Here is a 13,321-nt window from a genome sequence, read left to right as displayed (position 1 = left end):
GTGCACATTGTGCAGGTTAGTTACATATGTATACATGTGCCATGCTGGTGCGCTGCACCCACTAATGTGTCATCTAGCATTAGGTATATCTCCCAATGCTATCCCTCCCCCCTCCCCCGACCCCACCACAGTCCCCAGAGTGTGATATTCCCCTTCCTGTGTCCATGTGATCTCATTGTTCAATTCCCACCTATGAGTGAGAATATGCGGTGTTTGGTTTTTTGTTCTTGTGATAGTTTACTGAGAATGATGGTTTCCATTTTCATCCATGTCCCTACAAAGGATATGAACTCATCATTTTTTATGGCTGCATAGTATTCCATGGTGTATATGTGCCACATTTGCTTAATCCAGTCTATCATTGTTGGACATTTGGGTTGGTTCCAAGTCTTTGCTATTGTGAATAGTGCCGCAATAAACATACGTGTGCATGTGTCTTTATAGCAGCATGATTTATACTCATTTGGGTATATACCCAGTAATGGGATGGCTGGGTCAAATGGTATTTCTAGTTCTAGATCCCTGAGGAATCACCACACTGACTTCCACAATGGATGAACTAGTTTACAGTCCCACCAACAGTGTAAAAGTGTTCCTATTTCTCCGCATCCTCTCCAGCACCTGTTGTTTCCTGACTTTTTAATGATTGCCATTCTAACTGGTGTGAGATGATATCTCATAGTGGTTTTGATTTGCATTTCTCTGATGGCCAGTGATGATGAGCATTTCTTCATGTGTTTTTTGGCTGCATAAATGTCTTCTTTTGAGAAGTGTCTGTTCATGTCCTTCGCCCACTTTTTGATGGGGTTGTTTGTTTTTTTCTTGTAAATTTGTTTGAGTTCATTGTAGATTCTGGATATTAGCCCTTTGTCAGATGAGTAGGTTGCAAAAATTTTCTCCCATGTTGTAGGTTGCCTGTTCACTCTGATGGTAGTTTCTTTTGCTGTGCAGAAGCTCTTTAGTTTAATTAGATCCCATTTGTCAATTTTGTCTTTTGTTGCCATTGCTTTTGGTGTTTTGGACATGAAGTCCTTGCCCACGCCTATGTCCTGAATGGTAATGCCTAGGTTTTCTTCTAGGGTTTTTATGGTTTTAGGTTTAACGTTTAAATCTTTAATCCATCTTGAATTGATTTTTGTATAAGGTGTAAGGAAGGGATCCAGTTTCAGCTTTCTACATATGGCTAGCCAGTTTTCCCAGCACCATTTATTAAATAGGGAATCCTTTCCCCATTGCTTGTTTTTCTCAGGTTTGTCAAAGATCAGATAGTTGTAGATATGCGGCATTATTTCTGAGGGCTCTGTTCTGTTCCATTGATCTATATCTCTGTTTTGGTACCAGTACCATGCTGTTTTGGTTACTGTAGCCTTGTAGTATAGTTTGAAGTCAGGTAGTGTGATGCCTCCAGCTTTGTTCTTTTGGCTTAGGATTGACTTGGCAATGCGGGCTCTTTTTTGGTTCCATATGAACTTTAAAGTAGTTTTTTCCAATTCTGTGAAGAAAGTCATTGGTAGCTTGATGGGGATGGCATTGAATCTGTAAATTACCTTGGGCAGTATGGCCATTTTCACGATATTGATTCTTCCTACCCATGAGCATGGAATGTTCTTCCATTTGTTTGTGTCCTCTTTTATTTCCTTGAGCAGTGGTTTGTAGTTCTCCTTGAAGAGGTCCTTCACATCCCTTGTAAGTTGGATTCCTAGGTATTTTATTCTCTTTGAAGCAATTGTGAATGGGAGTTCACCCATGATTTGGCTCTCTGTTTGTCTGTTGTTCGTGTATAAGAATGCTTGTGATTTTTGTACATTGATTTTGTATCCTGAGACTTTGCTGAAGTTGCTTATCAGCTTAAGGAGATTTTGGGCTGAGACAATGGGGTTTTCTAGATAAACAATCATGTCGTCTGCAAACAGGGACAATTTGACTTCCTCTTTTCCTAATTGAATACCCTTTATTTCCTTCTCCTGCCTGATTGCCCTGGCCAGAACTTCCAACACTATGTTGAATAGGAGCGGTGAGAGAGGGCATCCCTGTCTTGTGCCAGTTTTCAAAGGGAATGCTTCCAGTTTTTGCCCATTCAGTATGATATTGGCTGTGGGTTTGTCATAGATAGCTCTTATTATTTTGAAATATGTACCATCAATACCTAATTTATTGAGAGTTTTTAGCATGAAGGGTTGTTGAATTTTGTCAAAGGCTTTTTCTGCATCTATTGAGATAATCATGTGGTTTTTGTCTTTGGCTCTGTTTATATGCTGGATTACATTTATTGATTTGCGTATATTGAACCAGCCTTGCATCCCAGGGATGAAGCCCACTTGATCATGGTGGATAAGCTTTTTGATGTGCTGCTGGATTCGGTTTGCCAGTATTTTATTGAGGATTTTTGCATCAATGTTCATCAAGGATATTGGTCTAAAATTCTCTTTTTTGGTTGTGTCTCTGCCCGGCTTTGGTATCAGAATGATGCTGGCCTCATAAAATGAGTTAGGGAGGATTCCCTCTTTTTCTATTGATTGGAATAGTTTCAGAAGGAATGGTACCAGTTCCTCCTTGTACCTCTGGTAGAATTCGGCTGTGAATCCATCTGGTCCTGGACTCTTTTTGGTTGGTAAACTATTGATTATTGCCACAATTTCAGAGCCTGTTATTGGTCTATTCAGAGATTCAACTTCTTCCTGGTTTAGTCTTGGGAGAGTGTATGTGTCGAGGAATGTATCCATTTCTTCTAGATTTTCTAGTTTATTTGCGTAGAGGTGTTTGTAGTATTCTCTGATGGTAGTTTGTATTTCTGTGGGATCAGTGGTGATATCCCGTTTATCATTTTTTATTGTGTCTATTTGATTCTTCTCTCTTTTTCTTTATTAGTCTTGCTAGCGGTCTATCAATTTTGTTGATCCTTTCAAAAAACCAGCTCCTGGATTCATTGATTTTTTGAAGGGTTTTTTGTGTCTCTATTTCCTTCAGTTCTGCTCTGATTTTAGTTATTTCTTGCCTTCTGCTAGCTTTTGAATGTGTTTGCTCTTGCTTTTCTAGTTCTTTTAATTGTGATGTTAGGGTGTCAATTTTGGATCTTTCCTGCTTTCTCTTGTAGGCATTTAGTGCTATAAATTTCCCTCTACACACTGCTTTGAATGCGTCCCAGAGATTCTGGTATGTGGTGTCTTTGTTCTCGTTGGTTTCAAAGAACATCTTTATTTCTGCCTTCATTTCGTTATGTACCCAGTAGTCATTCAGGAGCAGGTTGTTCAGTTTCCATGTAGTTGAGCGGCTTTGAGTGAGATTCTTAATCCTGAGTTCTAGTTTGATTGCACTGTGGTCTGAGAGATAGTTTGTTATAATTTCTGTTCTTTTACATTTGCTGAGGAGAGCTTTACTTCCAACTATGTGGTCAATTTTGGAATAGGTGTGGTGTGGTGCTGAAAAAAGTGTATATTCTGTTGATTTGGGGTGGAGAGTTCTGTAGATGTCTATTAGGTCTGCTTGGTGCAGAGCTGAGTTCAATTCCTGGGTATCCTTGTTGACTTTCTGTCTCGTTGATCTGTCTAATGTTGACAGTGGGGTGTTAAAGTCTCCCATTATTAATGTGTGGGAGTCTAAGTCTCTTTGTAGGTCACTGAGGACTTGCTTTATGAATCTGGGTGCTCCTGTATTGGGTGCATAAATATTTAGGATAGTTAGCTCCTCTTGTTGAATTGATCCCTTTACCATTATGTAATGGCCTTCTTTGTCTCTTTTGATCTTTGTTGGTTTAAAGTCTGTTTTATCAGAGACTAGGATTGCAACCCCTGCCTTTTTTTGTTTTCCATTGGCTTGGTAGATCTTCCTCCATCCTTTTATTTTGAGCCTATGTGTGTCTCTGCACGTGAGATGGGTTTCCTGAATACAGCACACTGATGGGTCTTGACTCTTTATCCAACTTGCCAGTCTGTGTCTTTTAATTGCAGAATTTAGTCCATTTATATTTAAAGTTAATATTGTTATGTGTGAATTTGATCCTGTCATTATGATGTTAGCTGGTGATTTTGCTCATTAGTTGATGCAGTTTCTTCCTAGTCTCGATGGTCTTTACATTTTGGCATGATTTTGCAGCGGCTGGTACCAGTTGTTCCTTTCCATGTTTAGCGCTTCCTTCAGGAGCTCTTTTAGGGCAGGCCTGGTGGTGACAAAATCTCTCAGCATTTGCTTGTCTATAAAGTATTTTATTTCTCCTTCACTTATGAAGCTTAGTTTGGCTGAATATGAAATTCTGGGTTGAAAATTCTTTTCTTTAAGAATGTTGAATATTGGCCCCCACTCTCTTCTGGCTTGTAGGGTTTCTGCCGAGAGATCCGCTGTTAGTCTGATGGGCTTTCCTTTGCGGGTAACCTGACCTTTCTCTCTGGCTGCCCTTAACATTTTTTCCTTCATTTCAACTTTGGTGAATCTGACAATTATGTGTCTTGGAGTTGCTCTTCTCGAGGAGTATCTTTGTGGCGTTCTCTGTATTTCCTGAATCTGAACGTTGGCCTGCCTTGCTAGATTGGGGAAGTTCTCCTGGATAATATCCTGCAGAGTGTTTTCCAGCTTGGTTCCATTCTCCACATCACTTTCAGGTACACCAATCAGACGTAGATTTGGTCTTTTCACATAGTCCCATATTTCTTGGAGGCTTTGCTCATTTCTTTTTATTCTTTTTTCTCTAAACTTCCCTTCTCGCTTCATTTCATTCATTTCATCTTCCATTGCTGATACCCTTTCTTCCAGTTGATCGCATCGGCTCCTGAGGCTTCTGCATTCTTCACGTAGTTCTCGAGCCTTGGTTTTCAGCTCCATCAGCTCCTTTAAGCACTTCTCTGTATTGGTTATTCTAGTTATACATTCTTCTAAATTTTTTTCAAAGTTTTCAACTTCTTTGCCTTTGGTTTGAATGTCCTCCCATAGCTCAGAGTAATTTGATCGTCTGAAGCCTTCTTCTCTCAGCTCGTCAAAATCATTCTCCATCCAGCTTTGTTCTGTTGCTGGTGAGGAACTGCGTTCCTTTGGAGGAGGAGAGGCGCTCTGCGTTTTAGAGTTTCCAGTTTTTCTGTTCTGTTTTTTCCCCATCTTTGTGGTTTTATCTACTTTTGGTCTTTGATGATGGTGCTGTACAGATGGATTTTCGGTGTAGATGTCCTTTCTGGTTGTTAGTTTTCCTTCTAACAGACAGGACCCTCAGCTGCAGGTCTGTTGGAATACCCTGCCGTGTGAGGTGTCAGTGTGCCCCTGCTGGGGGGTGCCTCCTCCCAGTTAGGCTGCTCGGGGGTCAGGGGTCAGGGACCCACTTGAGGAGGCAGTCTGCCCGTTCTCAGATCTCCAGCTGCGTGCTGGGAGAACCACTGCTCTCTTCAAAGCTGTCAGACAGGGACACTTAAGTCTGCAGAGGTTACTGCTGTCTTTTTGTTTGTCTGTGCCCTGCCCCCAGAGGTGGAGCCTACAGAGGCAGGCAGGCCTCCTTGAGCTGTGGTGGGCTCCACCCAGTTCGAGCTTCCCGGCTGCTTTGTTTACCTAAGCAAGCCTGGGCAATGGCGGACGCCCCTCCCCCAGCCTCGTTGCTGCCTTGCAGTTTGATCTCAGACTGCCGTGCTAGCAATCAGCGAGACTCCGTGGGCGTAGGACCCTCTGAGCCAGGTGTGGGATATAGTCTCGTGGTGCGCCGTTTCTTAAGCCGGTCTGAAAAGCGCAATATTCGGGTGGGAGTGACCCGATTTTCCAGGTGCGTCCGTCACCCCTTTCTTTGACTCGGAAAGGGAACTCCCTGACCCCTTGCGCTTCCCAGGTGAGGCAATGCCTCGCCCTGCTTCGGCTCACGCACGGTGCACGCACCCACTGGCCTGCGCCCACTGTCTGGCACTCCCTAGTGAGATGAACCCGGTACCTCAGATGGAAATGCAGAAATCACCCGTCTTCTGCGTCGCTCACGCTGGGAGCTGTAGACCGGAGCTGTTCCTATTCGACCATCTTGGCTCCTCCCTTCCATATTGAACTTTTATAAGAACATTAAAAAAAGGTTTTCTGCCAGGTATGGTGGCTCACGCCTGTAATCCCAGCACTTTGGGAGGCCGAGGTGGGTGGATCACGAGGTCAGGAGATCAAAACCATCCTGGCTAACGTGGTGAAACCCTGTCTCTACTAAAAATGCAAAAAAAAAAATTAGCCGGGCGTGGTGGTGGGCACCTGTAGTCCCAGCTACTCAGGAGGCTGAGGCAGGAGAATGGTGTAAACCCAGGAGGTGGAGCTTGCAGTGAACCAAGATCACGCCACTGCACTCCAGCCTGGGTGACAGAGTGAGACTCCATCTTAAAAAAAAAAAAAAAAAGGTTTTCTGTAATTTTTAAATTGGATTGGAAATTACCCAGATCCTTAATATCAATTAATAACCTTAGATTCTAAATTATATGGCAAGTTTGTTTATAAGCATTTATTTCATTACATTTACTTGATTATTTAATAGTTTATCTAGATTATTCACAACACTGTGTGTGATAGTCATTATTTAAAGTTATTTCCCTGTTAACCTTTTTTTTTTTTGAGACGGAGTCTTGCATATACATATACAGCATCGATCAGTATATGTAAGATGTATGTTGGTTTGGTCCAGAGCAGAAGGATTACTGGAAGCAGAAGCAGTGGTGGGGTGGGGGACAGGGTTGGAAGAAGCCTCCATGTCATAGATGGATTCAAAGATTTTCTGTTTGGCAATTGGTTGAAAGAGTTTATCTATAGACCTGGAATCAATAGAATGAAGTGTCTGGGTTAGGATAAAAGGTCATGGAGATCAATATTCCTTTTATGCAGATGAAGCTCCCAGGCAACAGGCTTCAGAGATAATAGATTGTAAATGTTTCTTATCAGACTTAAAAAGGTGCCAGACTTTTGGTTAATTCTCTCCTGGATCAGGAAAAAGACCTGGAAAGGGAAGAGGATTCTGTACAGAATGCAGATATCCCCGTGAGAGACAGCTTTACAGGGCCATTTCAAAATGTGTCAAAGAAATGTATTTTAGGGTAAAATACTTCAATTTCTTTCAGGGCCTGCTATCTGTTATGTGATGCTATAATAGAGTCAGTTTGGCATTTAGTGTCTTATCGTTACAAAGAATCTGTTTGATGTCAGTCTTAGGATGACAGTCTTAAGATCTGTGTCTTAATGTTAATGTTGGTCAGTTGTCCCTGAATTTCAAAGGGAGGAGGGTACAATGAGGCATATTTAACCCCCCTTCCCATCATGGCCTGGACTAGTTTTTCAGGTTAACTTTGGAATGCCCTTGAGCAAGAGGAGGGGTCCATTCCACTGGTTGGGGGGCTTAGAATTTTACATTTGGTTTTGCAAGAGTCTGTTTTTAAGCTGGGAGAAAATAGAATATTTTTATAAAAGGAAAGATCCAGAAACAAAGGAAAGTTGAAGAAATCAGGATGATAACCTAGAGGAAGATTCTTGAAGAGGTTTGAGAGAGGATAAAATTAAAAGTTCTGTGGAGTCTTTTCTATTTCTTAAGGCAAGGGGTGGGGAATTTATCAGAAATGGAGATTCTAAGGATTGACAGCAGAGATTTTGATTTAGTATATCAGGGATGGAACACAGACATTAACACTTTAAACCAGCCCTCCATGTCTTTGCTACATAGGTAGTCCAACAGTGCTCTGAGGCAGTGATAAATGCAGAAAGGGTAAAGTGCTTGGAGTAAAAGGATTTTTGTTATCATCCTTGATTTGCCCTTTTACTTACCATCAGGAAGGCTTTGTGTTTCTCGTTTTGGTTTGGTTTGGTTTATGTTGTTTTAGTGCCCATGCATCATATACTGTGCAAGCCTCTAGAAAAGGTTATTTAATTTCTCCAAGCTTCAGATCTTCATCTGTAATAATATTATCTGCCCCAGAGTAATGCTGAGAATCAAATTAAATTATATATGAGGCTATCTTCTTCTTCTGGCCAAGATGTAGTAACAGAGACTAGATTTACCCTCCTACAGGAAACAACTACAAAAACCTGACAACATACATGAAATAATAGTTTTCAGATATTGGACATCAGGTGATAGAGGACAGCGATCCCTGAGATGGGAGAAACAAATGAGATGATCCCTACTTCTGCCCCATCTTACTGTATGGAAGATACAGCACAGAGAGTGGAAACCCAGGTGGAACCTAGCAGTCTCCCTGAATTTACAAGATGGAATTGGGAGTCTTGGGAGGCAAGGTGGCTTAAGTTTGCAGGGCAGAATGCTGAAGAGGAAAGAGTGCAGAGATAGGGGTGGAAGCTCCAAGATCATGTCTTCAGCTGAGTATACATCAGTGTAAGCATATGAGGAAACTACCTTAGTTTGAGGAAGAGACACTAAAATGATTCAAGGAAATAATTCCTAAACTTCTCAAAGAGCTAGGAATATTTTGCATTTCCATAAGCCAGAAAGGAAATATATATATCATAATTATGTATAATAATTTTATACATCAATTATAATTATTTAAACAGGGTCTTACTCTGTCACCCAGGCTGGAGTGCAGTGGCATGAAATGGCTGACTGCAGCCTTTACCTCCCAGACTCAAGCAGTCCTCCCACCTTGGCAGCCCGAGTTGCTGAGACTGTGGGCATGGGCCACCATATTCAGCTAATTCTTGTATTTTTTGTGGAGACAGAGCTTCACTATGTTGCCCAGGCTGGTCTTGTACTCCCGGGCTCAAGCAATCTGCCTGCCTCAGCCTCCCAAAGTTCTGGGATTACAGGGATGAGCCACTGCACTTGGCATATATATACATAGATATACACACACATATACATATATATATATAATTAGTAAATGATATTGTTTAAAATAATTCCTAAAAGAGTATTTCCTCAGGACTGGGAAAAATTAGTCTTGTAATAAAGGCTGCTCTGGTCCTCCCTAACAAAGTTTAAACATCATCCCCATCCTTGAAAGTAAGTGTTCCAAGCAAGTTAACTGTATCCCTGAAAAAAAGCTCAAGAATATGTATATAAATATAAAAATATCCACCTCCCAACAAGAAAACATTCAGAGCATCTTACATTCAACCAAAAATGCCCAGACATGGAAAAATCAGGAAAATATGACATATAATGAGAATAATCAATCAATGGAAACAGATCTGTAAATGACACAAATGATATAATAACTAAAGGCATAAAAGAGTTACTTTAACTGTATTTCATATGTTTAATAAGGTAGAGAAAAAATGAGCAAGTTAAATAGACTGGAAGGTTTTTAAAGGTCCAAATTGAATTAGAGACTTAAACTACAATGTCTAAAATGAAAAATATGTTATTCATTCAGAGCAAGATTCTGTCTCAAAAAAAAAGTTTTTAACTTCTTTTTTTCCCACTTTTTTGGGGGATATCAGCTCCAGCTTATTGAGTTAATGGCACTTCTCAGTTCCTAGTATACTCCCCTCCCTTTCTGTGTCCTTAACTATAAAATGTTCCAAGTGTGTGATATATGTCCATTTTATTGGAGTATCTTCTCGTGAAATGTGAACTCTTTTATGATATGTATATATTTTTAATTTATATAAATTATGCTATAGGTCTCAGCTTGTTTCTTACTTTTTTTCACTCAGCAGTGTTTTGAAGATCATTCAGGTTGATATGTGGACGTTTAGTTCACTAATCTCATTGCTGCCTAAGGAACCAGTTTGTCCTGACAGTACTGCAGGCCCCAAGGAACCCTTAGAGCATTATCTGTAAAGTCAGATGTTTGTAGGCCCCAGAGCAGATTAACTGGGTGGAGATGCAAGTAGTTGCGGCCATATGGCAACGCAGGACATGTTGCAAGACAACCAAATTCTTCAAGAGAGGCCAGGAATCAGGATTTTTGCAAGAAATCTCCTGATTTTTTCAATGTTGGAAAAACTGAAGGTCAAACAAAATATTTCTGCAAGCTCAATTTAGCCATTTTCTAACCTTCACATTAAAACATTTGAATCAGAGAATGAGATCAGATTTGTGTTTCAAAAATTAAAGAAAAGATGGACTAGAATAGAACAGAGGAGTCCAAAGATCATGAGTTGAGGTATAAATATGATTGAATTGAAGGGCCTATGGGCCGTTAAGGTGAAGATTATTGGAAACACAGACCTATCTTCCTGAAAATGTTGTGAGGAGTGGGGATTTTTTACGATATAAATCATTATTACATAGATTTGGGCATACTGTGATTCAAGTTAAAATGTATAAGTCGGCTGGGCACAGTGGCTCACGCTTGTAATCCCAACACTTTGGGAGGCTGACGTGGGTGGATCACCTGAGGTCAGGAGTTTGAGACCAGCCAGACCAATATGGTGAAACCCCATCTCTACTACAAAAAAAAAAAAAAAAATTAGCTGGGCGTGGTGGCGGGCGCCTGTAGTCCCAGCTACTCGGGAGACTGAGACAGGAGAATTGCTTGAACCCAGGAGGCAAAGGTTGCAGTAAGCTGAGATTGCGCCACTGCACTCCAGTCTGGGTGACAGAGTGAGACTCCGTCTCAAAAATAATAATAATATAATGTATAAGTCATAATGTTGACATTTTAAATATATTTAAAATATTATTTTATATATTTGTTCTTTCATTTAACAAAACATATCAGTAAAATTCATACTCATAACTTTGCACAAGTGAAGTTCTATGCTTAAACACTTGGCACATTTTCTTTTGTAGTAGTTAAAACTGTGGTTTGGTGTCAGACTACTAAGTTAAAATCTCTGAATTATTGACTATATGTATATCTTTGGATAAGTTAGTTAACCTGTCTTTGTTTTGGTTTTATCATCTGTAAAAAAAAGGCTCTTTTAAAAGCTGACTTCTCAGGCCAGGCACGGTCTCACGCCTGTAATCCCAGCACTTTGGGAGGCTAAGGCGGGTGGATGTAGGCAGATCATTTGAGGTCAGGAGTTCGAGACCAGCCTGGTCAACATGGTGAAACACCGTCTGTACTAAAAATACACACACACACACACACACACACACACACACACACACAAATTATCCAGACGTGGTGGCGCATGCCTGTGGTCCCAGCTACCCGGGAGGCTGAGGCAGGAGAATTGCTTGAACCCAGGAAGCAGAGGTTGCAGTGAGCCGAGATCACTCCATTGCACTCCAACCTGGGTGACAGAGCGAGATCCTGTCTTAAGAAAAAAAAATTAGGCCGGGCGCAGTGGCTCATGCCTGTAATCCCAGCACTTTGGGAGGCCAAGGTGTGCGGATCACCTGAGGTCAGGAGTTTGAGACCAGCCTGGCCAACATGGTGAAACCCCGTCTCTACTAAAACTACAAAAATTAGCTGAGATCGCGCCACTGTACTCCAGCCTGGGCAACAGAGCGAGACATCATCTCAAAAAAAAAAAAAAAAAAAGTGACTTCTCATGGTACTAGCATAAAGACAGATATATAGACCAATGGAATAAAATAGAGTCTGAAAATAAACCTTGCATGTAAAGTCAGATGATTTTCAACAAGGTACCAAGACCATTCAATGGGGTAAGAACAGTCTTTTCAACACATGAGGCTGGGAAAACTGAATATCCACATGCAAAAGAATGAAGCTGGACCTCTACTTTACACCATATACAGAAATTAAGTCAGGCCAGGTGGAGTGGCTCACACCTGTAATCCCAGAAATTTGGTAGGCTGAGGCGGGTGGATGGCTTGAGCTCAGGAACTCGAGACCATCCTGGGAAACATGGCGAAACTCCATCTCCACACACACACACACACACACACACACACACACACACACAAATTAGCCAGGCATGGTGGTGTTCACCTGTAGTCCCAGCAACTCTTGCGGCTGAGGTGGGAAGATCACTTGAGCCAGGGAGGCGGAGGTTGCAGTGAGCTGAGTTTGTGCCACTGCTCTCCAGCCTGGTTGACAGAATGAGACCCTGTCTCAAAAAGAAAAAAAAAAAAGTCAAAGTGAAACAAATACCTAAATTTAAGAGTTCAAACTATAAAACCCTAAGAAGAAAACATAAACTAAAAACTTCATGACATAGGATTCTACAATAATTTTTTAGATAAGACATGAAAAGCACAGGCAGCAACAACAAAAATAGATAAATTACCCAATCTCTATTAAAAAAAATACAAAAAAATTAGCCAGGCATAGTGGCGGGCACCTGCAGTCCCAGCTACGCGGGAGGCTGAGGCAGGAGAATGGCATGAACCCGGAAGGTGGAGCTTGCAGTGAGCCGAGATCACACCACTGCACTCCAGCCTGGGCAACAGAGCAAGACTGTCTCAAAAAAAAAAAAATAGATACATTGAACTACATGATAATTTAAGACTTGTGCATCAAAGGACACTATCAACAGAAAAGACAACCTATGGAATGAGAGAAAATATTTGCAAATCATGTGTCTGGTAAGGGGTTACTATCCAGAATACATAAAGAACTCTCCCAACGTAACAACAAAAAACAAACAACCAGAGTAAAAAACGGTCAAATGACTTGAATAGACATTTCTTCAGTAATGACCAATAAACACATGAAAAGATGCTCAACACTACTAATTATTAGAGAAATGCAAATTGAAACCACAATGAGTTACCACTTCACTCCCATTAGGATGGCTACTATATAGATAAACAACAATGACAACAACAAAAACAAAACAGAAAATGACAAGCATTGACATGGATGTGGAGAAATTGGAACCCATGTACATTGCTGGTGGGAAGGTAAAATGGAGAAGCTATTGTAGAAAACACTATGGTGCCTCCTCAAAAAATTAAACATAGAATTACCCTATGATCCAGCAATTCTACTTTTAGGTGTATACCCAAAAAAAGTGAAGGTAAGAATTCAAACAGATATTTGTGTCTGTTCATAGTAGCAGCATTATTCACAACAGCCAAAATGTGGAAACAACCCAAGTGTCCACTAACGATGAATAGAGAGATGAAATGTGGCACATACAAGCAATAGGATATTATTCAAGGAATTAAAGCCTTTAATTTATTTTTATTTTTTATTATTTTTTTTTTTAGAGACAGAGTCTTGCTCTGTCAAACAGACTGGAGTGTAGTGGAAGAATCATGGCTCACTGGAGCGTTGACCTCCTCGGCTTAGGCAATCCACCACCTCAGCCTCCTGAGTAGCTGGGACTAGAGGTGTGCACCACCACCTCCAGCTAATTTTTAAATTTTTCTTTTGTAGAGACGGGGTTTTTCTATGTTGACCAGGCTGGTTTTGAACTTCTGGCCTCAAGCATTTTTCCTGCCTCAGCCTCCCAAAGTGCTGAGGTTATAGATGTGAGCCACCGTGCCTGCCCAAAGCCTTTAATATTATTAAAGAAATTA

General features: G+C 40.9%; 2 annotated features.

Annotated features, from left to right (window-relative positions):
* Nucleotides 8,075-8,369: a silencer, noted in NCBI's record as "tiled region #4861; HepG2 Repressive non-DNase unmatched - State 24:Quies". NCBI's record gives its function as "represses a minimal TATA promoter and a strong SV40 promoter by Sharpr-MPRA in HepG2 cells {active_cell/tissue: HepG2}" and the evidence as "EXISTENCE:reporter gene assay evidence [ECO:0000049][PMID:27701403]".
* Nucleotides 9,458-9,931: a transcriptional cis regulatory region, noted in NCBI's record as "candidate enhancer chr11.5907 targeted for multiplex CRISPR interference". NCBI's record gives its function as "positively regulates FEZ1 gene expression with high confidence in K562 cells {active_cell/tissue: K562}" and the evidence as "EXISTENCE:mutant phenotype evidence [ECO:0000015][PMID:30612741]".

The sequence above is a fragment of the Homo sapiens genome, chromosome 11, assembly GCF_000001405.40.
Source record: "Homo sapiens chromosome 11, GRCh38.p14 Primary Assembly".
NCBI classification, from domain to species: Eukaryota; Metazoa; Chordata; class Mammalia; order Primates; family Hominidae; genus Homo; species Homo sapiens.
Note: the sequence above shows the minus strand (reverse complement) of the source record. Positions and strands in the feature narration are given on the sequence as shown.